The sequence below is a fragment of the Homo sapiens genome, chromosome 15 (genome assembly GCF_000001405.40).
Source record: "Homo sapiens chromosome 15, GRCh38.p14 Primary Assembly".
NCBI lineage: Eukaryota > Metazoa > Chordata > Mammalia > Primates > Hominidae > Homo > Homo sapiens.
The window spans coordinates 61,004,056-61,028,485 of record NC_000015.10 but is presented as its reverse complement, the minus strand read 5'-3'; the positions used below and the strand labels follow the sequence as shown (position 1 = coordinate 61,028,485).

At 40.2% G+C, this 24,430-nt stretch overlaps 1 protein-coding gene and 1 long non-coding RNA gene across 14 annotated transcripts in view; both read left to right on the top strand.

Moving 5' to 3' along the window:
* LOC107984805 (uncharacterized) overlaps positions 1 to 22,198 on the top strand; it is a 129,290-nt gene extending 107,092 nt beyond the window's left edge. For 6 of the 12 annotated variants that reach the window (XR_007064659.1, XR_007064658.1, XR_007064655.1 and 3 more), the window contains one exon: positions 1,484 to 15,385. This is a non-coding gene — a long non-coding RNA (uncharacterized LOC107984805). Of the gene's footprint in view, positions 1 to 1,483 lie in introns of all 12 variants that reach the window. The other 6 variants (XR_002957759.2, XR_002957761.2, XR_002957758.2 and 3 more) reach the window with 6 other exon arrangements.
* The window catches only part of RORA (RAR related orphan receptor A), a 741,019-nt gene that overhangs the window by 200,817 nt on the left and 515,772 nt on the right, over positions 1 to 24,430 (top strand). The window lies entirely within an intron of this gene.

Here is a 24,430-nt window from a genome sequence, read left to right as displayed (position 1 = left end):
TCTAACACCTAACAAAGGGCCCCGCACATAGTAGGAGCTCATTAGATACTTGTTGAATGAATGAATCCTAATTTAGTTCATTAAAACCAGATTGTTTCTGGCAGTCTACTTATCTAGACCGTTTGTATGAATTTCCTTGGCATAGTCTCTATTGTGCTGGAGATAGGAAGGGCCCTCCATAAACCACTCAACTCCTCCTCATGCCCCCAGCATGCCTTTACCCGTTTGTGTATTTATTAATAGAATTCAGCATTTATTTTATATATTTATTGGAATTAAGTTGCAAAAATGTAGAAGTAACCATGATGGGCAAAAGCAGAGCAGGTCCTGATGTGAATACATTGTGAGCCAGAAGCAGAGCTGTCAAAATCCAGGTTACTGTCAGATGTGAAGAGGAATGGGATTCCCAGGGCAAGCTTTTGTCAGTATTTGGGGAAAAAAAATATTTTTGAGCAAACTTTCTCTTAGGAAATAATTTATGGTAGAAATATTTTTGCTTGAACAAGTGGTTAGCTATAATGGCAGTAGCTACCCTTCGTGGAACACTTACTGTGGGTTAGGTACTCACAGTGCTATGGGCTTTAGGTTTGTAAGGTCATTTATTTCTCCTAGCCACCTTGGGAGATAGACATTGCCTGTTACCATTTTGCAGATTGGTAAACTGAGACTTTGAGAGAAAATGTAATTTGGCCTTTATCCCATAGTTTTTCTAACTTCAAATCACATGTTAACCACCATAGTTTTAGGTACTATCTATCCATTTTGGCAGATCTAGGATCTCCTATTAATTGCAAGATTTAAAGTAGAGAATTAAAGAAGAAAGTTAGAGATGATGCCTGAGTAAAAGCATACTTGTTGTAACAGAGCAGAGGACGTGGCCCAAGCTTGGGAGCTGGATAGATCTGGATCCCACCATTTATTAGTTGAGCATGTTATTTACTTTCCCTGAGTCCCAGTTTCCTAATTTTAAAGATGGGGATAATTCAGTCAATCTCAGTAGTATAGTTATGGATCAAATGACACAAAATAAACAAAACGCCGAGCCAAAGTCTGACACAAAGTAGATGCTAAAAACAGAATAAGCCACCTCTGCCCTTTCATTTCTTCTACTTCTTCTGTGTTAATGGGCAAATGAATGGCTCCAATAGAAAGGTATGGCTAGCCCTCCCAGTTAATACGTTTTCAGGCCAAGACTAAAATGAAATTGGGACTAAAATGTTAAAATGTTTACTAGAAATATAAACTTGCATTCGCACCTTAAATAGTCCTCTCTTCATTTCAGTGAATATCAATTCAACTAATACTATTGGCGCATGCAAATGAATATGATAGTAATGGACCCTCGCCCACACTGGGCTCATATTCCATTAGAAGAGACATAAACAAACAGGCTTTTATAATTCAACCAAATACAGCTCAGTTACAATGATAAATGCTGTTGAAGCTGCATGGTGAAATTCAACAGCTTTTTTTTTTTTTGCAGGCCAGGAGGCTTTCTAAGCTTACTCCTGATGCAGTTAAAACTCAAAGGTTTCTGGAAGCCAATGAAAATCCTCACCTCTGACTGAAATGGAATTTCAAGGGAAAGAAAATACAACGTATTTTATGAGGTCAGGTCTCCCATAAGGTGTTAAAGGCATTGTTCAGAGGTGCCACCTAGCAACTTCTCCCAGAACAAAAGATTAGCCATAGGTACTTCTTGTGTCTGGTTTTTGAGTTTAAAATAGGAACAGGCAAAGGATGCATTTGGCAGCATCCTTCATCTATTCCTGTTTAAACTTCTATCAATAAAAGTTTAGTTCTATTAATAAACATGTCTCTTGACTTTGTTGTGAAATAGAATTGGTGAAGGCACAAAGTGGCTTATTTTACTACTTATGAGGCAGGCGTATTATATATGACATAGACCAACTGGAATTATGGATGGTATTTCATAAAATAGTGTCAAAGATTGCAGGCCAGGGAGACAGAAAGAAGTATACTTGATTTTCTTGAGAGTCACTTTGCACTTAAATACCCAAATACCGAAAGTTTAAACACATTTTCATGATTCCTTTGTATAAAAAGTGAACAGAATGGCTACCGTTGTAATTTTGCTGCTTCTAGCAATTCACCAGCAAAATACATCCCAAAATAGCAGATATACAATGCAGCATATGCTTTGGTGAATCTAATAATTTCGTGAACTCGTTCGCTGTTGGGCTGGTAATCTACATAGCTTTAACGGTGAACTTTATAAAATTCGGAGCCTCATGCATCAGAAGGTAAAAAACAAAAGTGGACAGTTTTAACAACGATGGATGAGTTGCTAGGGAATAAAATTAAATGGTTGATAATAATTGTGGTAGCTCACGAAGACTGATGTTATTTACAAAAGCTCCATTTTGCATGTAATCAGATGTCTATTCCCATGAGCTGGGTCATAATTCATATTCCACTTTAATGTTCATGGAAAATGTGCTTCTCTCTGTGTACGTATTATTTTTAGGATGTTATGTTTCCTTGGTGCATACACAATGAGCCTGAAATCCTTTAGGAATGTGTTTAATTTGAAAGTTTTATCCTCTGGGCCTGGTTAATTCAAATACATGGCTAGGAACATTATTGTAGGCCCTGAAAGAATGTAGGCATGGCAAATTATGTGCATAAAGGCAACTCCAACCCATGTTGCCAACGCTCATTTGGTAAAAGGTAGTGAGGAGGATTATTTTTTCCTTCCAAACTTTTTTCTTCATCCACTCATTTAATTTTTCTGCACTAATTCTTTACGTTAATAAGCTTGATTTACACTGGACCAGATTTCTTCTACTTTTAAACTCAGAACCGTGTCTGGTGGCTCTTTTGTATTAAAATCATCAGCCCAGGGAGCTTTTACGAACTTATGTCCTCAGTCCACAAGGTGTCCTGTGTTCACCCTTATATTCTCTTCTATCCTTAGTCACAAAGACTGTCTGAGTCGCATTTTCATCTCTAGAAACTGGAAGAAGTTCTAAGAGTGTGAGGTAATGACTCAAGGACAACAGCTCCCAGAAAATAACAGGGTTTGCCCTGCTGCTTTGGAGGAGGTTCTCCTGAATCATGTCACTGAAGCACAGCTAGGGCCCGGGACCTGGGACCACAGCCCTTGAAGGGAATGAGCGGCTGTCTGGGGGCTGAAAGTTCTCTCAGGAGAGGCGTTTTCACAAGGCTTTGTGATACCGAGCCTCAGGCGTGGACAGAGACGTGTTTTAGGATTTGAGAAGCCTGTGGAGAAATTAAGTCATGTCCCAGTGTACAGTGCTATGCCATAAGAATGGCTAGAACTTTCAGGGGCATCCTGGAGCTTGACCCTGGCTCATCATTTTATACATGAAGGGGCTTTGGGTCACGGAGGCATGGGTTTGCGTCCTGTCTGTTTGATTCATTAGATATGTGATCTGGGCCTAAAACTTCGGAGATCTTAAACACCGAAAACCTTGGGGCACTTTTGCCTTGCTCCCAACCATGAAATACAAAAACCAAAGCAAAACAAACAAAAAGTAAGCCAGAAGATATAAAATTGCTTATAGGTCTGTTGTCTAACATCAAGTGCGGAAAGGGGTCTAACAAATTTCCAGCTGGGTGCGGTGGCTCACACCTTTAATCCCAGCACTTTGGGAGGCTGAGGCAGGCAGATTGCTTGAGCTCAAGAGCTCAGGACCAGCCTGGGCAACATTGGGAGACTCCCATCTCTATAAAAAATACAAAATGTAGCCAGGACCAGGTGCAGTGGCTCATGCCTGTAATCCCAGCACTTTGGAGGCTGAGGTGGGCAGGTCATGTGATGTCAGGAGTTCAAGACCAGCCTGACCAACACGGTGAAACCCTGTCTCCACAAAAAATACAAAAATTAGCTGGGCGTGGTGGTGCATGCCTGTGGTCCCAGCTACTCGGGAGGCTGAGGCAGGAGAATCACTTGAACTCAGGAGGTGGAGGTTACAATGAACCAAGATCATGCCACTGCCCCCTCCAGCCTGGGTGACAGAGGGAGACTCCATCTCAAAAAAAAAAAAAAACATTACCGGGCATGGTAGCTTGCACCTGCAGTCCCAGCTACTTGGGAGACTGAGGTGAGAGGATCACCTGAGTGTAGGAGGTGAAAGCCTCACCGAACTATGACTGAACCACTGCACTCCAGCGTGGGCACTTGGCACCAGAGCAAGATTCTGTCTCAAAAAAAAAAAAAAAAAAAAAAAAGAGATCCAAGAAAGTTCTGCTTTTTCCTAGGATGAATGCTACTTGTATAATTTTTTTAAATACCAACTGATTTCCACCCCAGTTTGACTTGTTCCCCTGTTATGCTGGTGTCCTTAGGGTAGATTTTGTGGAGAAACCCAGCAGACTGAATTACTACCTCTCTCTCTTGGTGTTGTGCATATTAAATAAACAGAAGTATGCCGTGGCCTTTATAGAGGGTTGGACTTGTAATCAACTCCCAACACTCGTTCATGCATTTTTTGTTTCCATAGACTCTTAATGGGTCCCCAGGGCAGTAACTGGACATGCCAAATTGGGGTTGATCAAAGTAAGTAGGAGAATACCATGGTTTTATATATCAGTGTATACAAATTGGATACTTCTGCTTATTCTTGAGTTAGTGGGAGTTATCTACTGATGAAGACAGTGTGATAAGGTCTCTCATCCCATGTGAAATGATGAAAAGGAAGAAGTTGGGATTGAGATTACAATGAATAAAGGTGCATCTTTCATAGCTAGTTCATTTGTTTCAGTGTCCACTCACATGAGAGGAAACCCAAATATGCTTAGACAAAAATATCCAAAGCTGTTACCTGGAACACTGCAGCAACACCAGCAACAGGTTTGCTGTCTTAAAGGTTTCTAACTGATCTTGAGATTGTCCCACCTTTCCATAACCCTGCAAAAGCTGAGTGGTATAGTTTGGCTCTGTGTCCCTACCCAAATCTCATCTGGAACTGTACTCCCATAATTCTCACGTGTTGTGGGAGGGACCCAGTAGGAAATAATTTGAATCATGGGGGTGGTTTCCCCCATACCATTGCCATGGTAGTGAATAAGTCTCATGAGATCTGATGGGTTTATCAGGACTTTCTGCTTTGGCATCTTCCTCATTTTTCTCTTACTCTCACTGTGTAAGAAGTGTCTTTTGCCTCCTGCCATGATTCTGAGGCCTCCCAGCCATGTGGAACTGTAAGTCCAATTAAACCTCTTTTTTTCCCCAGTCTCAGGTATGTCTTTATCAGGAGTGTGAAAATGGACTAATACAAGTTTTGTCAGTTTTTTTTTTTTTTTTTTTTTTTTGAGGCAGAGTCTCACTCTGTTGCCCAGGCTGGAGTGCAGTGGCAGGATCTTAGCTCACTGCAACCTCTGCCTCCTGGGTTCAAGCGATTCTCCTGCCTCAGCCTCCCGAGTAGCTGGGATTACAGGTGCCCGCCACCACGCCCAGCTAATTTTTTTTGTATTTTTAGTAGAGACGGGGTTTCACCTTGTTGGCCAGGCTGGTCATGAACTCTTGACCGCAAGTGATCTGCCCACCTTGGCCTCTCAAATTGCTGGGATTGCAGGTGTGGGCCACCGTGCCCGGCCTGTCAGTTCTTAAACATTGATTACCACTAGGGATACTGCTGCCTCCCTGCATCTCTTACCTGAGGAGCCAAAGACAAGATGCAAACCTGCATTTATGTTCAACCTACCATTTTCTTCTACCTCCAGACAGCAAAACCACAAACGTGTTTTAGAATAGAATTAACCAGTTAACTCTCAGTTAACCATTTTACTTAAATCTGTACACTCTTTGCCACAATGTGTCTAGGGGGTCACATTTTTACCCACTTTTGAAATAAGAAAGCACAAAAGTACAGAAAGGAGTCTTATTTATCACGGCGGGGCTCTGAATATGACCCCATCCCAGTCCATAGCAGATTTTGCATCAACAGAATGTGTGTCTGTGTGTGCACCATTGAAAATACTGGCATGAAAACAAAGATGGCACTCTGAACTTTGAGCTCTGTTCTTAAAAGCATTGGGAAAAAGATGGTGCCTATAAGGTCAAGCCCAGCAGCCACACACACAATCCAAACTTATCTTCCTGCGGTACCTTAGCATGTGACACAATTGCCGTGCCCCGTTCTACTCATATACATTTTTTCCCACAAATTAATGAACATGTTTGTATTAATTAATAGCTGCCTAAATTTGAAGTCTTTCTTTGTCAAGCATTTTACATGCAATTAGCTCACTCAGTGGTCCCAAACACCCTGTAGGGAAATTTATTTTGTTATCATGATTTTATAGACAGGAGAACTCAGTCAACATAGTCGTGAAGTAAAATGTCCCAAATCATAGAGCCTGCAAATGGTTGACCTAGCATTTGAATTCAGGCAAAATCTGATTTAGAGCCTTCACCTTTCCCACTCTTTACAGATGCCACCCTGTAGTCCCTTGTGTAAGTACATCCTGTCAGCCTTTCAAGGCTCCCTTGGGTCAGCACATAGCTATTTGACCAAGGGCACTTATTCTGAGCAGAGCACCATATGAAGCCCATCCAGGTGATATACCATTCATGTATAGTGCCCGCCCTCAAAATCCCAGTGCACCAGTAAGAAGAAATTGGATGTGTACACAAGCACTCTCCTGGAGGCTAGAACCGCAGGTAGGATGTTCATACATCCCTGTTTGCATAGGACAGTGTGTTTTCCTGTTGTAATTATTGATAGTGCTTCCGTGCATCTCAGACATGCCCTACTTTGGATTATATCATTGCCCTCACCATAGGAGAAGTACATCAGAGGATTTTAAGGAAGAGAATTGTGCATCTGGTCCGGGGATTGCAGGCAAGATCCTCTTCATGGAGAAGATTTATGCTTAAGCTGTTCCTTGAGAGGCAGTGTTGTTCTGTGGCTAGGAGTGTGGGATCCAGGGTCAGGTTCCCTGTGTTTGAACCTTGATCAGCCTCAATGTCCTCACTTGTACGATTGCTAGAATAATCCTCTTGCCTCAGAGTTATTGTAAATATTAAGAACTAATACTCATAAAGCATTTGAAGCACTGCCTGGCCTATAGCAAGCACTTACTGAATGTTAGCTATAATCACTTAAACAGACACAGGTTTGGAAAAGGACAATTCTAAGTTTAGGCAGTGATACTGACGGTGTATTTAGGGTTTTCTAATAATTGGTTACTCATAGTCATTCACGGAGCCTCTGCCTTTCTAGTCTCCCACTATAGAGGCTGAAACATCGCAGTCACTTTTCCAGCCTCCCCTGTAGCCATGTGACCCATTTATGGCCAATAGACTAGAGAGGGGGCGTTGAGGAGGACCTCTCTTTGCAGGCCTCTCCCGTCCCCAGCGTTGGAACACAGGTGTGAACTTGGTGCTTGCCGCAGCTGCTACTGTCATCTCCCCACCTTGAGGGGAGGACCAAGAGAGTTACCAACTGTGGCCCGGATCCCTGACCTTGTACAACCAGTGAAGCAAAGCACAAAGCCATCTGCCCCCAGAATTCACGTTATGTGGAAAAAAGTAAATGCTTAGTTGTTTAGGCCACTGTCAGTTGAGTTTCTGATACAATTGAATTCATCATAACTGAGAGGCAGCAATAAATAGCCTAATTCAGCACAAAGGTCTGTTACCATTTGGGAAGGAGAAAAGATAGATGAGGGGCCTAAAATGTCCTCAGGAAATTATACGGGGCCCTTGAAGTTTTGTCAGTTTGGGAATAATGTGATTTGAGTTATGCTTTAGGAAGGGAATTCCAGCTTCAAGTTCAATGATGGATTAGAGCAGAGACTACAAAATCTAATAGTGCACCAAGATTGCCTGGGATACTTTTCAAAATAAAGATGTGAAGGGCCTTTTGTTGATATTCTTTGATCAGTCTCTCTGAGGGTGAAGGTTTTGGAAGCATCTGGATTGGAGAAGGGAAGCCTTGGTTGTTGTAACAATAGCCAGACATCATTATCTTCAATAAACAATAAGAAAAGAGCCTCATTCACATTTTAGAGATGTGAATATTGGGCCTGAAAAGTATTGAGTCACTGCCCAAAGTCTGTTTGCGAAGAAGCAGCAATTCCGAACTAGAATCCTGGCTCTTCTTTCCCCATTGTGTGCATGCTTTCCATGGTAAGATGCTAGCTACTTCTGGGGCAAAGAGAGTGCTTTCATCCTGGGCTGCAGGTGGGATGGTCTGAACTTGAGTAGTAGGAGAGAGGATGGAATGTTAAGTGACAGAGGTGGGAAGCTAAGTGGAGGTGATACTGAGATGCTGACTTAATGTGGAGTCCTAAAGAGAAGGGAACAGAAAGACATATATGAAGCGTTTCAAACTTGCAAAATTCGGACAGTGGCAGCCACATTAGGATTTGGAAGGAAGATGCAGCATTCAGAGCTGGTTTCATTGATACTCTACAAAGGGACGTTCTGTGATGATGTCCAGCAGACACTTGCAAATGTGAATCTGGAGCCTCTGAGAGAGGTTAGTGATTCCTTCAGTGGTTAATGCTGAAGGGTGGTGGTGAAGGATACAGAGAGAGAAGAGCGGAGGTCAGAGGACGGGAAGTTGGTGTCGGAGCAGAAATCAGAAGAAGCTTTTTGAGAAGTGGCAAAGGAACCAGGAGCATGCTGTACTTTGGAGGTGAATTCTGGGGGCAGGCAGGCCCCGTCAGTGACCAGCCATTGGAGAGGTGGTCAGGCCGACATCAGGAACCCCATCAGGAGGGAAGATGGTCATTAGGAGAGTGGCACAGAGGAGAAGCAAGGTGCATGAAGGTACGGTACCCATGGATAAGTACAGATGTGAGAGACTTGAAGTAGCTGAATGGTTTCCTCTTTTGAGGGGAGTGCTGGAAAAGGTGAGAGTGGGGCAGGACAGGTTTCCCCCCCTTCACTAACTTTTCCAGCCCAGAACAACCCCACCTCTTTTGAGCATCTCTAACGATTATCCTCTGAACCAAACTATTTAGCACGAAGACAAAACCTTCCACTGTCCTCAGTTTGAGGTGCAAGCCTGGTTAAAATTGCACAGATTGTATATTAGCAGGAAATAATGTTTGGTATATACTTGATAATCATCGACTGACAACACTAGGAATTACTACACAAAATGGAGGAAGAACCCAGGGGAAGACTTTCTTTTTTCTTTAAAGAAAGGGCATGATGAAGGACAGACATGGGGAAAATTCTGTTCCTTTAAAATGTGGGAAGCAGTTCCTGAGAACAAATGGGGTTATCATGACAATGTTAGAAATTTGGGGCGAGTGATGCCAGCAATATCAATTTCAGAGGAGCTGCGTGGAGCGCTGTGTAATGTATTCCGCTGGGCATGTTCTGTGGTGCTGTGAAGCCAGTGCAATTCTTGTGCCTTGCAGCAACTGGGTCCTTTTGTATTAGAGAGCTTTGGAGATGTTAAGAGCATTTGGGGATCTTAGCAGAACTAAAAAAGATCCTTCTTTTCAGAGGGTGTATTAGATAAGATGGAAGAAAACTCAGAGGGGAATAGAGCTGGATAAGCTCTGTTTGCTTTAAGCCCTTCAGCCTGGATACGTAGGTCTAGATTTTGTCTTGGGCCATTTCAGGTACTCTCTGTGGCAAGGTGCACAGGTTAATTAGCTCAGATATATGCACATTTAATGTGTGCCTTGGCAGAGATAGACATATACATCCTTACCATTTATGAGGATGTGTGTCTGTTATGTGTCAATATATGTGTGTATATTTGAGTATATCATCATATACATACGTACTCATATGTGTTATATGTATGATTGCTCTGAGGTCAGTATAGTCATATATACATCTGTACTTATCCATGAGTACCTATGCACATGTTATATATGAGCACAGTACAATATATACATGCATGCAGTATATACATGCATGCTCCGTATATACATGCATGCAGATGTATATACACCTGTAAATATTTATGAATCCAAATATATATATGCCTGTGCATGTGGAGTTTTTCACTACGCTACACACTACACATACACATACGCTCCCACACGCCCTCACAATTTAGAGACCAGTGACACCTTACATTTATAAAGTACTTTCCATACTTTTCTGATTGTTTCTGCATCCTTTTTTTTCTATTTTGATTCCCAAAGCAATTTTAGAATGTGAATGGGGAAAGAAAAGCCCCATAAAACTAGCAGGAAAGAAGCCACTGAGCTGTCCAAGGACACAGAGCAAGTCACAGCTAGAGCCCAGGAGAGGCCCCCGGTACTTGCCACTCTAAGCCTACTACACTTTGCTGAGGAATCAGAAGGCAAGACTCCTCAGAATTAGTAAGGAGCCTGGATTATGGACAATTACGAAGATGTTCCATTTTATCACTTTTCTACTATGCATAGTAAATTATAAGGGGCTAACAAAGTATCACATAGGAGCATTCTTTTGGAGGATCTATTGTAGTAAATAGAAAAGACAGTTGAATAGTTTTCTATATGAACAGTGCTTCTAAGTGCTTAAGAAGAGCTTATGTCATGTAGGTTGAGCAGGCATGCTGCAATGCTTTTTATGATATTTATTTGTTTTGTCAACCCTTTCACTCCTTAAATAAAGGTAAACTTCCGCTCACCCCGTCAGAAGGATCAACATGGAGAATTAGTGGACCTGGAGTTCATAAGGTTTTACTGTAACAGCGATTAGGAAGGAATGCACATGTGTTTGTCTCCAGGAAGGTTAGAAATGGAAATAAATGCAAAAATATGCTTTGTGGCACGTCATCATTTTTCATATGAAAATGGAAAGCACAAGACAGCTTTGTTTTGCCTTTTTGGGGGGCTCGTGGCTGATTTTCTCTTCTTGCTTCCTGGTTTTTGTTAGAAAGAAACTTGTTCATTTCCCACCCACTCCACACCCCCTCCCCCACGCTGAAATATCTGTCCAAGATCATCCTTTCAAGTGTTCAGACTTAGAGAAGGGAAAAGAAAAAGAACTGTGATTTAAAATATATATGTACATCTTTTTTTTAAGCTTGCAAACTGGGATTTCTAGACTCAATTTGTGTTCTTGAGATATTGGAGTCAAGTTTATGTATAGTTTTTGATGTAGGACCTAATTAGGCTCTCAGCATATCTTAATACTTTCTGCTACATCTGCATTAAAGATAACATTGCATACATTTGCATTTCATTTACATAAAAAAGTTAGCCATGCTGTATGTAACAATCACTTTCACCAAGTACCGTTGACAGCAAATATTTTGAATAAGCATGTGAAAATCCATGTCTACACAAAGCCTGTCCTGGGTTCTGTTGAATCTCTCACATTTGGAACTTGTTTTCATGTAGTGTTACTTATTCCAATGGAGCCCTGGAGGTTAAGCCAATAAATAAAAACGTAGGAATCAAAAGAGCCTGCTTTATGTGATATATTCAACTTGGAAAAGAAAGGCTCAGGTGATATTCGTTTGGATGTTGTTTATAATTTTAACTGTAATGGTAATCAATGATAATAATAATAATAATGGTGTGACTTTTATGATATGTTTTATAGGAAAGTGGGTAACTTTGGAATAAAAATATTCATTCATTTCTTTATTCATTCATACGTCTTCGGCTGAGTATATATGGGGCAACCTTATTTCCAGGTCTCACTTAATGAAATCAGGTTTATCTGGGCCATTTTACTTTAAAAGTAAGCTTTTACCAGGGGGACTACTCCACCAGTTTTCTCTGCTTGCCTCATACCCTGTGTCCAACGAGGCACATTTTCACACTTCTAATTGCCCAGTGACTTGTCTCCCCATTTCACCACATTCAGCTATTCTTTACTCCTTATGGGTCGCGAAACCTCCGGGCAGATTCTCTGGGGTGTGCTTCATCCACATCAGATGATGGGCGTAGCTTATGACGATGTAGACTCGTCTGTGGTCATGGGACCCAAAGCTCGTAGAACACACTCCTTCCAAGGAGTGTTCTTTAAAAATGATCCTAACCAAACACAGCTGGGAATTGTTATATACTTTACCTCTTCTTGGAGAGCCACATGCACAGAGTACAAATCTTGCTTAACTTTCTCTAAGTTGGTATTTCCCAAACCTTTGGAACCATGAAGTCTTTGTTGGCATGCCACCTGTTTATCCTGGGAGACCATTTTCTGCAGTGATTTTGGAAATCACCATTCTATTTTAAGAACCACAGAAGCAATGATGACGGCAACCATAATATTAGTGGCTAGCATTTGCTAGGAGCTTCTCGAATGCCAGGTGCAATGGTCAGTGCTTTATTTGTATTATCTCATCTAAATTCCCTCAAGAACTGTATGAAGCAGAGTGCCATTATTAGCACCGTCTTAGAGATGAGAAGACTGAGATGTAGAGAGGTTAAATAACTCACTCTACATTGTGGTACTAATGAGAGAAAAAGGGGAAACTGGAGCCCAGCTAATGTTCTTGTTTTTACACCGTCTACAGTCTCTCACAAAGCCTGATACTCTTCTGTTTCCAGGCTGCCACTGCTAGTTCCTGCAGTCATCTCTCCGATATCATGACTCAAGCCCTCCGGTCGTCTTGGCCACGTTCCCCCTGGTTTATCCATATTCCACGTAAACTGTGTTCATCATACTGAAAACAGACCCCTGGAGGAATTCTGAGGTCCAAGGATTTGGGCAAGGTCATTACCTCCTTTTTCCTGGACCATCTTCTTCAATTAATGCAACCTAAGACTGCAATAAGCTCTTTTACAGGTATATAATTTTGTATCATTTGGAGCATATTCTTAGAATTGTTTGGTGTTCTTTCCCCCATGTATGCAGCTGATTTTTAAAAACAGATCTGTGATCTATAGCAAGTTGCTCAATCTCTTTAAGCCCCACATTTTTGGTGAGTAAAATAATAATAGCACAGACTTCATGGCATTGTGGTGGTGAACAGATGAGCACCTACGCTTCTCAATACAGCGTCTTCTACATAATAACTTCAATAAATATGAACTAGTATAATTATTGTGTTATTGGAAAATTAGAAATTGCAGGTGAGCAAAAGGCCTTTCTTCCAAACATTTTTTTTTGTGTATTTCAATGTAATTAATTTTTTTTACTTAAAAATTTTGAATTAATATCTCAACTTATAAGAGCAGCTTTGTCAGTATATTTTAAATGATTCCCACAATGCTGATTTAGGCATTTTACATTTTGATATGCATTTTTAGCTGGTTTTCAAAGTCACAAGGCTCTAAGGAAAAGAACTAATCCTTAGTTGGCAGGAAAGTCCCTCCCCAAATCCTTGGATTAAAATAGAATCTGCCGCCAGGGCTTTCCTTGTCTTCTGTGATTGAGATCTGTCTCAGGTGGGAAGGCATCCGGTACCTGTGCATGGCAAGTTCATTCTTTAGAGATAGAATGTGCAACTTTAATATTTATTGATAGGCACACTAATTCTCTTGCTGATGGTAATTAATGAGGTGCTTATATCTTATTTTGCGGTAGTTTAACGAGCTTCGGGCTATAGGAGAGATCCGGTGCTTGCTGTAAATGCTGAGAATCAAAGATGCTGGAGGAAAATGCAGAAAATGGAGCAGAAAAAATAAGGTTTTAGCAGATAAAATATCTCAGATTAAAAACACTCTCAAAACAAACCTTGGTAAGGCAGAAGCATTTAAAAATCAGGGAGAGCTTGCCAGGGAGGAAAGTCGCAGGTTCCCTATTCCTTGTTCCCTAAGCATGCTGTTAATTTTGACCACCCATTTGTCTTTCTACCCCTTTGGCTTCGTCTGTGTTAGCAGTGTGAAGTGAAAAATTGATAGGAAAATGTATTTTTTTTCTTAAGGCTTAGATAGTTACAGCCAAAACATTTTGTCATATTGGGTTTTGAATAATTGTGTCAAATCTACACTTAATTTTGCCTTAGACAGCTAGCCTTATGACCCTAGTTAACCTGTATTTTCTCTTATTCTTTCATCCTTTGGAAATGAGGTTCACAGAATACAAATTCAGAAGAGCATAAATTCTAACTCCTTAGAAGACAGGAATAGAAGTCAAAGTGACCTCAATAAATCAAAAGCAAGTTGAAGTTCAATAGGGACAAATGTAAGGTAGGATACTTATGCCTAATAGACGGACTCACAATTTTAAAATCATCTGGGCATGATTGTGATGGAAAAGTGTCTCTCTGTCAAGGACATGAGGAAGCCACATCCGCAGCCTTGTCTAAGGACCTACTATGTGCCAGGCATTTTGCATAAGTCAGCTTGCTTACAAATACACTGTAATAATCTCAACAGTAACTCTCAAAGCTGTGTATAATTTGTGCTCTCATTTTATAGATGTGGAAGCTGAGGCCGAGAGAGGGTAAATAATTTGCTCAAATGTTCACAGTTAGTGATTTAACTGGTTTTGGATCCTGCTGTATCTACTTGACCAAGAGTACTTCATTACAGAGCTGTTATTTAAAAAGCCAACCCGGCCGGGTGCGGTGGCTCACGCCTGTGATCCCAGCACTTTGGGAGGCCGAGGCGGGCAGATCACAATGTCAGGAGATCGAGACCATCCTGGCTAATATGATGAAGCCCTGTCTCTACTAAAAATACAAAAAATTAGCCTGGCGTGGTGGCGGGCGCCTGTAGACGCAGCTACTCGGGAGGCTGAGGCAGGATAATGGCGTGAACCCGGGAGGCAGAGCTTGCAGTGAGCCGAAATTGCGCCACTGCACTCCAGCCTGGGCAACCGAGCGAGACACCCTCCAAAAAAAAAAAAAAAAAAAAAAAGCCAACCCAGTTCTTGGCTATAGTAACTGAGACTTTACTTGAGAACCAGATAATAACCTTTCCAGTATACTATACATTAATTAAAATTTAAAAGAAAAATGAATAGGAGAAACTGGAGCAAGTCCAAAAATACCCCACCCAACAACAAAGGCAACAAGAGAAATTTTTTAAATTGGCCTAATAGGTAACAGGCTCAAGGTGTTTGGGATTGCTTAGCTAGGAAGAATGCAGCTACAGGGTGAGCGACACACTAATCCTGTAGACATCTAAAAGGCAATAATAAAGATTCACATTTTACATCAGTATTTGCAGGTAACAAAGCACTTCCCTGTCAGTTGTCTTACTGGTTTCTCACAGCAGTCATCCGGAGCAGAAGTCAGCAAACTTTTCTGTAAAGGGCTAGATAGTTAAATATGTTTGGCTTTATGGGCCATGCGGTCTCTGTCACAACTCCGCAACAAAAGCAGCCAGAGGCAGTTCATAAACAAATGGGCATGACTGTGATCCAATAAAACTCTATTTACAAGAAGATGTGACGAGCTGGATTTGGTTCTCAAGCTGTGGTTATGTGAATACATATTATCGTTTCCATTATTCAGATGAGAAAATTGAGGCTCAGAAAAGTAAAGTGACTTATCCTATGCAACTGAATGAATAAACAATGTGTCTGGAACGAGAATTCACTTTCTGTGGTTATAGTTTGGTGCTCCATGAAGTAAATTGAAGACATGTACCCAGAAAGATTTCAGGGAAGTTTGTCATCCCAAGATACCATTTGCCTGTGATTGTAATTAAAATTGGGAGCAGATGAATCAAGAAGTTAGATGAGGCTGGGAGCGCGGTGGCTCACACCTATAATCCCAGCATTTTGGGAGGCCAAGGCAGGCGGATCACTTGAGCTGAGGAGTTCAAGACCAGCCTGGGCAACATGGTGAAACTCCATCTCTACAAAAATTACAAAAATTAGACAGGTGTGGTGGTGTGTGCCTGTAATCCCAGATACTCAGGAGGCTGAGGTGGAAGGATTGCTTGAGCCCTGGAGGTCTGGGCTGCAGTAAGCTGAGATCACACCACTGTACTCTAGCCTCGGTGACAGAATGAGACCTTGTCTCAAAAAAAAAAGTGATAACTTGGTTTAGTGAAACAATGTTTGCCAGGCACTTGAGAAAGGATATTTGATCAAAAAAACATTTATCTGCTAACCTACAAGTCTATTATTAAAGTGATTGCTTAAGAATCTTTCTGAGACATGAATTTTGTTTGAATTATAGTTTTCCTTTCCCTGGGAGAGAAAATACCTTAGGTGGCTTACAAATTCATCTGTCCAGTTGTCTTGTTAGAACTTAATTTTGACTAGCAAAGGGTAGGATTGAGAGAGAATAAGGCAAGAGGAACAAGTTAGTGTTTGTGAGACTTGTGATGGGGAGGAAGGTTGTCAGCAAAGATTACTGTACCAATTTGGGTGCCCTATAGGAACAAATTGGGAAAGCGTTGATAGTATTAGCTAAATTTACTGCATACTTAATATCATCTTCTAGCACATGTTTTACATGCTATGCTTGAATTAATTCATTTAATCCTCCAAACAATCTTATGAGATAGGTGATGTTTTTATTTCCATTTCAGAGGTAGGAAAACTGAGGCACAGAGCCTCACAGTAAATATTGGAGAGAGGGCACATCAAAATCATGTTTTCTATAATCTGCTAGTGAACACCCCCCTTCCTGGTCAGTTTTGGTGAACGGAAGCTCCACAGCCCTGGGATGTTTGTATTGCATGCCCATGCATTTCATGCAATTGGCCAGACCAGGTGATCTCTCAGCTCTTTGTTTCTTTGATAGAGATGTAAATTGAGGGAAGCTGTGGAGAAAACAGAGCGCAAGCTCTCTGGAAATGAGTGCCTCATTACTAGTGAAGCTTGAGGCTTGGTGGCATGAACTCTAAGTGAAGAATATTTCTTCTTGTTTGCTGAAAGAATCCTTAAGTGGGCACTTGGTAGCAAGTTTAGTTAAACCTAACCTGCTTGAGGGCTAAACCCTCATAAATCAAAATAGCTCAAGTGACTGTAGTAAATGCCAGGTACCCAGCAATGCCTAGAGTAATTCAGTCTGCTTTATGAGTGTCAAATAGCTAATACTTTTTATGTTCCTTTTTTTTTTAATGCGTAGGAAAGCTTTTGCAGATACGCTTTCCATGAGAGTATTTTGCCAATATCTCCCTTGAGAAAATCAAAGGAAACGGCACTGTGTTTCCTCTTTGGATTACAGGTTGTTGTTTTGTTTTGTTTTTTCAAGCCAACTATGCTCACAGATACCTAAAGTGAGATTTATACATTTAAAATCAAACAACAAAAGCAAAACTTTTGTCATTTTATTAGTCCTAACATCATTAGTTTTAGGATATCATTATTAGAGTTCCTTCCCACATTTCTATCCTTCTAAGAAAATTGTCTTAGAATTCAGGAACTTTAATAGCAGTTCTATAGAAGAGAAACAGATTGAGTGATGAGATAATGGATCTCATGAGAGAATGGATCAAGGAAGAGAATGCAGAAGATGCAGATGGTGGAGGAAAAGGAAAGAAATACAAAATGGAGAGAGGAAGGAAATGACAAGAAGCCAGAAGTGTGTGCAGTTGAATGAGGGGGGTGGGAGGAAAGCTGGATTTGGAATCAGAAGATATGGGTTCAGTTCCTACCTCTGCCTTTGCTTAAATGACCTTTGCCTTCGCACTTGACTTCATCAGAATCTTTTTATATCATGAAGTAATAATCATATAAGCCTTACACGATGTTTAGGTGACATGATGTAGTTGAAATGTGCTTGGCTTAATCAATATATATGCATGGAATCTGAGAGTTTTGGAATAACAGCAGAACAGAACCAAGGAACCAGGCTCATTGATGTAAGTAGAAATAGGAGGGAAGAACCTGAGGGAGTAAATTTATTTGAGTACTCCCAGCCAACAGTCCTCATCTCCAGGTTCTAAAGTCATGCAATGTTCTTATTGTCCACTGGGCATAACACAGCACCCCCTTGCAACTAAGTCCTAATATGACTTCATTGATGTTTTTATTTCCATTTCAGAGGTAGGAAAACTGAGGCACAAGGGATCACAGTAAATATTGAAGAGAGGGCACATTAAAATCATGTTTTCTATAATCTGCTAGTGAACACTCCCCTTCCTGGTCAGTTCTGGTGAATGGAAGCTCCACACCCCTGGGATGTTTGGATTGTATGCCTGTGCATTCATACAATTGGCCAGACCAGGTGATCGATCTCTCAGCCTTTTGTTTCTTCGATAGAGAGTACTTGCAACTAAGTCCTAATATGACCAAGGTCACTAATTTTCACTACAACTTTATAAGCCAAGAATAGGGTCTAGGATATGGACCGTCTTAGATATGGATTCTTAAAGGGATGATTTTTAGCACTTCAGGGACATCTCAGATGGGACTCAAGATGACTCTACCTGAAACAGAACCTCTGTATGATAGTATTAGATTCAAGTCCCAGGGGGCCCTGAAAAATTACCTGTCCCAAATTCTCTCAAATAGAAGTGTTTCCTCTCAAAAGCTAGGGATTTTCATAAGGCAGATTTACATTTAATTCTACTCTTCCAGTGTCTTTCTTTTTAACTCACCATCTGACAAGGAATAGTTAGCATATAACCCAAAGCATATGTGGTAAGCTTGTTCCTCCCTGCCTAAATATGAGTTTAATAAAAAATAGCAGTTAAACATATGTTAAAAATGAAGCAGTACAGTTGGGGGCAAAGAAGAAAAGGCAACACAACTGTTTATTAGTTGTGTTTTTCATTTTCATGTTCAGAGAATTTGAAGACTCCAATTTTTTTTCCAAGCTGCAGTCAGATCTGCACAGTTGCATACCCTGTTTGGGTCTTTATTTCCTACAGATGAACACTAGGCTGACATGTCGAAGCCCATGTCCAAAGTAATGAACACCAATTAGCAAATTAATGGATTAAGATCCTTTTTATGTGTCAATTGCCCAGGTTAATCATGTCAGGACTAATAATATTTTACCTCAGGATAGAGCTTTGACATTACTTACAGAAATCAGTTTAAGTAAGTGTTAAGTGATCTTGATTCTGTGGATTGTAGTTCAAGATTTGTGAGGTCTAAGCGTAGTCAAGACAAATCAGATGTTTCCATTTCTCACTGTTGTTAACAGCTTCATTAAGACGATCTATCTGAATTAAAATTAAAGATTAGTCTTGACCTTATAGGTATAAATAGACAGTCTATGCCCCATGTCTTTCTAATTTGCCAGATTTTCTTTCCTGTATCGTACGGATGAATCAAGGTGGACATCTTTCATCTTGGTGTATTTCCACCAAGCTAAACACAGTTGTTTAAGCATAGGACTATGCCCAGAGTTGTGGCAGTTTCTTTCATTAGAGTGAAACGAGGGCTGCAAGCCCTAAGCTTTTGTTGAAATGTGCATCCTTCCTATAATAAATTTTTACTCTATCTTAATAAAATCCATGGCAACTTTCCTACCCATCCCTCCCCCGGAATGGGCTACTTTTATAGGGAAAGAAAGGCAGCATCAGGACCAAGAAGGGGATGGAGAACACCAAGTTTCTTCTTCTAACAGCGATGGCATTGAAGAGCTGTTAATACTCAAAGTGATGAATCACTAATGGCATATGACATTCTTTCAGATTCGCATTTGTATTTGCTACTCACAGCAGTCTTGTGAAGCAGTAGGCAAGGTGTCTGTTTTAAAGTCCACCTTAAAGATAAGGAAACCGAGACTCTGATAGGATGTTTATCCTATCAGAGGTGGTAAGTGGCTGGACCTGACCCTTTCTATGCCCCGTGTCTTTCTAATTTCATCAAATGGATAACTTTCTATCCTTGGAGTTGCCCTTGGTCAGAGTCAGCAGAGAGGAAGAAAAGCAGTATGCCTGTTCCTGCAATTTTTCTACATCAACATCATTAATTTCCAAGTCATTTTCATTGTTTGAGAGTGGGTATATGTATGCAGCTTTTCTAAAGCATAGTGTACTCAGTTGTGGATTTTTTTTTCTAATGGAATCAAGTAAAAGGCATTAAAAAGGGGTAAGTCAAATGTGTACAAAGGAAAAGAATTCCATCTACATGCGCATTTTTTTCCATAGGATTTCTTCCATTCTTGGAAATGATAGCATAAATGACCTGATTGTAGTTATAAGTCACAGGTGGAAAGTTTAGTTTTCCTTTCCTTCTGTGAGTCAAATTGATTCCACCCCTCAGGGAACAGCCCAGTATCAGACATGACCCTCTTCCTCAGGGCTGACCTGTGCTCATTCCTGTTCATGCGTTCTTGATCACCTGCTCGAGAGACCCAGCTGATATACCTGGCTTGTGGGTGCAGCTGGAATATGGCCAGATCTCTTTAGAGAGCTAAATCAAATATTTTCATTAGCCCCCTTAAACCCAATAAAGTAAATTCTTGGGTCCCATGGAGGAAAAAGAATAGTCATGAGATGCATTAGACAGTGGGTTTCATTTTTTGTCGTTCATTTACTACACACACACACACACACACACACACACACACACACACACAGAGAGAGAGAGAATTTTGAAATTCTTTATACCTCCACATGTTTATCCAAAATTTGACATTTAAATTTTTTTTATCATAAGTTTAAATAGTTCAATAGCAGAGGATTTAATTTCTGGCATTTTATAAATATTTACATTTAAAAATAAAACTTGTCACTTTTGAAATGTATCTAGTGAAATCTAAATACTATTTTGGTGTAAATGTTTGCTGTCATTCATTTTTTAAAGAAATACACGAACAAGCTCTTTTTTGATACCCAAAACTTCTACATCTTTTTTCTTTTATCCTAATTTTCTATTAGGATAATTTCTATTATCCTAATTTTATCCTAATGTTATATATTTTATATAACATTAGGCTAATGTTATATATATAAATATGTAATATTTTTTATATATGTAACAGCCTAATGTTAAATATATAACAGCCTAATGTTATATATAATATATAACATTAGGCTAATGTTATATAAAATATATAATATTAGCCTATATAACATTAGCCTAATGTTATATATTTTTATGCTTAAAAATCTTTCATTGATCATGCTGTCATAATCCTTTGTAATAAAAATATGTGTAAATAAATTTTTTAAATCCTATGACCGTAAAGGTATAGGTAATTTTTTAAATCTTCTAGATTGATTTATCATTACAGTGATTTTTAGAACAAATTTGATCAAAACAACACAAACGTATTGAACATTTCAATAAACAATTATTAAATATAGAAGTTAATGTCTATTAGAAATATATTTCTTAATGAGATGGATGGTTCTTTATTTCCAATTAGTTTTTTTACCTATGGATGAATGTTATTTTTGCCAAGGGTTCAATATCAATTCCATTCCTTGTTTTAGTCCGTATCATATAAATGGTGAGAAACATTGCCTATCAATTATGTGATGGGAACAGAGTTTCATTAGAGCAAGGTCATTTCCATTTTGAACCTCTGAATTATACACCCAAAACAACCAACCACCTACCTTGGATTTATAATGTCTTGGTTATAGAAGGCTTACTTTTAACCCCTATATCAAATTGGTCCTTTCTGGGGCAAGAACTCCAATGGTGTTCATAGCCCTGGACAGGCAGTTATAATAGATTTGCCATAGGTGAAAATTATGTCTTTCTGCTTGAAGGTAAGAGAAGCAAGCTTGTAAATGGAGAGATGAGTAAACTGGCATGACCTCTTAACCACAAATGCATTATCAGACACATTTAGGAAAGACTCCGGGAAATTGAGATTCTGGAATTTAATTTCCTTAGAATTATCTATGTCCATATAATTCTAGGAAGGATTTTTGTGACACTTCAAGAGGATACATTTTCTAGTTTGAAAACCCCTGTAATAGAGATAGAAATAAGCTCCAAAAACCAAGGACAATAATTCAAAGGGAGTTAGAACTTACGAGAGTAGGGACAGTCAGTTGCATCTAGTGAGCACTGATAATGCATTCTTCAGGCAGAATGTATTTCCCTTTGATTGTAAGTTCATGGTCTTTCCTGAGAAAATTCCAACTGTGTCTGATGGGGAGTCTGGAGAATACCACTGCTGGAATTGGTGTCTTTCAGAGGCTGGCAGAGGAAGGAGCAACAGCATGGATTGTGTGCAGCAGGTGTTTTTATTAACACATGCATTATCACTTTTATTTGTCACTTCATGGAGTCAAGTGACCTTTCCCAGGGCACATGGGCAGACTTTTCCCAGTGGCTGTTCCTGGGCTTCAGAGTACACCCAGGGGAAAATTATCTGTTAGTTACTTTCTCCCTCTTCTTGACACCTTCTGAGTTCCAACGAGTCAGAAGATAATCATAATCAGAATAACATCTCAAAAGAGAAGCTAATTGCAGTTTTTTCTTAGTTGCAAAAGAAATACATGGTCACTGTAGAAATCATGAAACACACAGCACAAAACAATAAAAAAAAAATATTACGGCCGGGCACGGTGGCTCATGCCTGTAATCCCAGCACTTTGGGAGGCTGAGGTGGGCAGATCACGAAGTCAAGAGATTGAGACCATCCTGGCCAACACTGTGAAATCCCGTCTCTACTAAAAATACAAAAATTAGCTGGGCATGGTGGCGCCTGCCTGTAATCCCAGCTACTCGGGAAGCTGAGGCAGGAGAACCGCTTGAACCCAGGAGGTGGAGGTTGCAGTGAGCCAAGATCGCGCCACTGCACTCCAGCCTGGTGACAGAGCGAGACTCCTTCTCAAAAAAAACAAAACAAAACAAAACAAAACAAACAAACAAAAAATATATATATATGGCTCTAAGCCTACCACTAAGAGGTGACTATGAACATTTCAGAGTATCTGTATTCATGAGGAAGGCACATGTACACACATACACAGACATACGCACACTCCTACTCATGGCCAAGAGAGGAAGTTTATATAGTTTAGACTGGACTACACCTGAGTTTAGGTTTTCATTCTCTCATTTTCCAGTTTCTTCATTTGTGAAAAGGCCACAATAATAGTGTATACTTTATTGTGTTGTTGTGAGTGTTAAGTAATGCAAGTACATTTAGCTATACGCTTAGAACATAAGCATTGTATGGATATGGATAATACATATATGTGTGTGTATGTATATATACATATTATAGAGAAAGAGAGAGAGAGAAAGCTTTCAGATTTCATTTTTAGGTTAGCAACATTTCCTCAGCATTTCATTAGTTATGTATTTGTTGTAAGCATAACTTTTGTTTTTATTTTTTGAGACAGAGTCTCGCTCTGTTGCCCAGGCTGGAGTACAGTGGCACGGTCTCAGCTCACCGCAGCCTCCACTTTCCAGGTTCAAGCAATTCTCCTGCCTCAGCCTCCTGAGTAGCTGGTATTACAGGCGCCTGCCACCACGACTGGCTATTTTTTGTATTTTTAGTAAAGGTGGTGTTTCACCATGTTGGCCAGGCTGATCTCGAACTCCTGACCTCAAATGATCAGCCTGCCTCGGCCTCCCAAAGTGCTGAGATTACAGACATGAGCCACCATGCCTGGCCAAGCATAACTTTTAATCACATCTGTTGTATGAATGTAACACAATTGACTTAACCAATCATCCTATTGTTGAACCCTCAGATTGTTTCCATCAATTTGCTAAACAATGCTGTGATGAACATCCTACTGCATATGTCTGATACAATACGCTGCTAAAAGTGGAATTGCTGCACTAGAATCTGCACATTTAAGGCATCTGCAACATGTTGCCTAATTTAACTCCAGAAAGACTACTCATTTCTATTCCAACTTTGAATAGACATAAGAGTGCCTGTCTGCATAAACCTTCATCAACATTGGTATTATCTTTCTTTTTCATCTTTGCTAATTGGATAAGTTTTAAAAAGTGTAACACATTTTAGTTTGCATAGCTTTGATTATAAGTGAGGTTCGACATTTTTTTTCATTTCTTTACACTTTAAAAAATCTAACCGTGGCAACGTTTGCAGGTGTGTGTTCTTCTTATGTTGCTGAGTGTTATTTACTCCCGGACCCATGTCTGTATCCATCTCTGTTTTCTGCAGGAGGCATAAAATTAAAGTTCAGCTTCCCTAGAACGGGTGTGTATGTGTAAGAGGTTTAATCAATAACTGACAGAGGAAGTGGGGGTTCAGAGTACCCTCCCAGGCCTCTGTGGATTTCTTCTCTTTCAACCTGGCTGCTGCTTCTCTGACAGGTATACTTCTTAGCTCCGGGGACCTGGACCAGACAGCCCTCACTCTGCCCCCATGTGCCTTGGGACTCTGGACCTTGCAGAAATACTTATGGCCTGAAAAATGCAAAAGGTCGCAGGCTTATTTTTAGATGAAAAAAAAAAAAAACATTCAGACTCCATTTTAAGCATAAAGAATTCTATAATAGGATGCTTCCTCTTGCTGTATTATTTGTATTGTACGTATTAGTCTGTCTCTCTCTCTTTCTCTCTCCCTCTCTCTTCTCTCTCCTCTCTCTCCCCATTTCTTTCTACTCCTCCCCTCTCCCCACTGCCCCCTTTTTGGCAAATTACACTTTTCCATGACAAGAAGTAAGTACTGTCAATAAAGAAAGCAAATGCATGACAAAGATTTCAAGAGTTGAAACCTCCTCTTGTCTGACTCCCCTTCACTCTGGGATCTGAACCGTGTGACAGAAGCTCCCTGTGGCG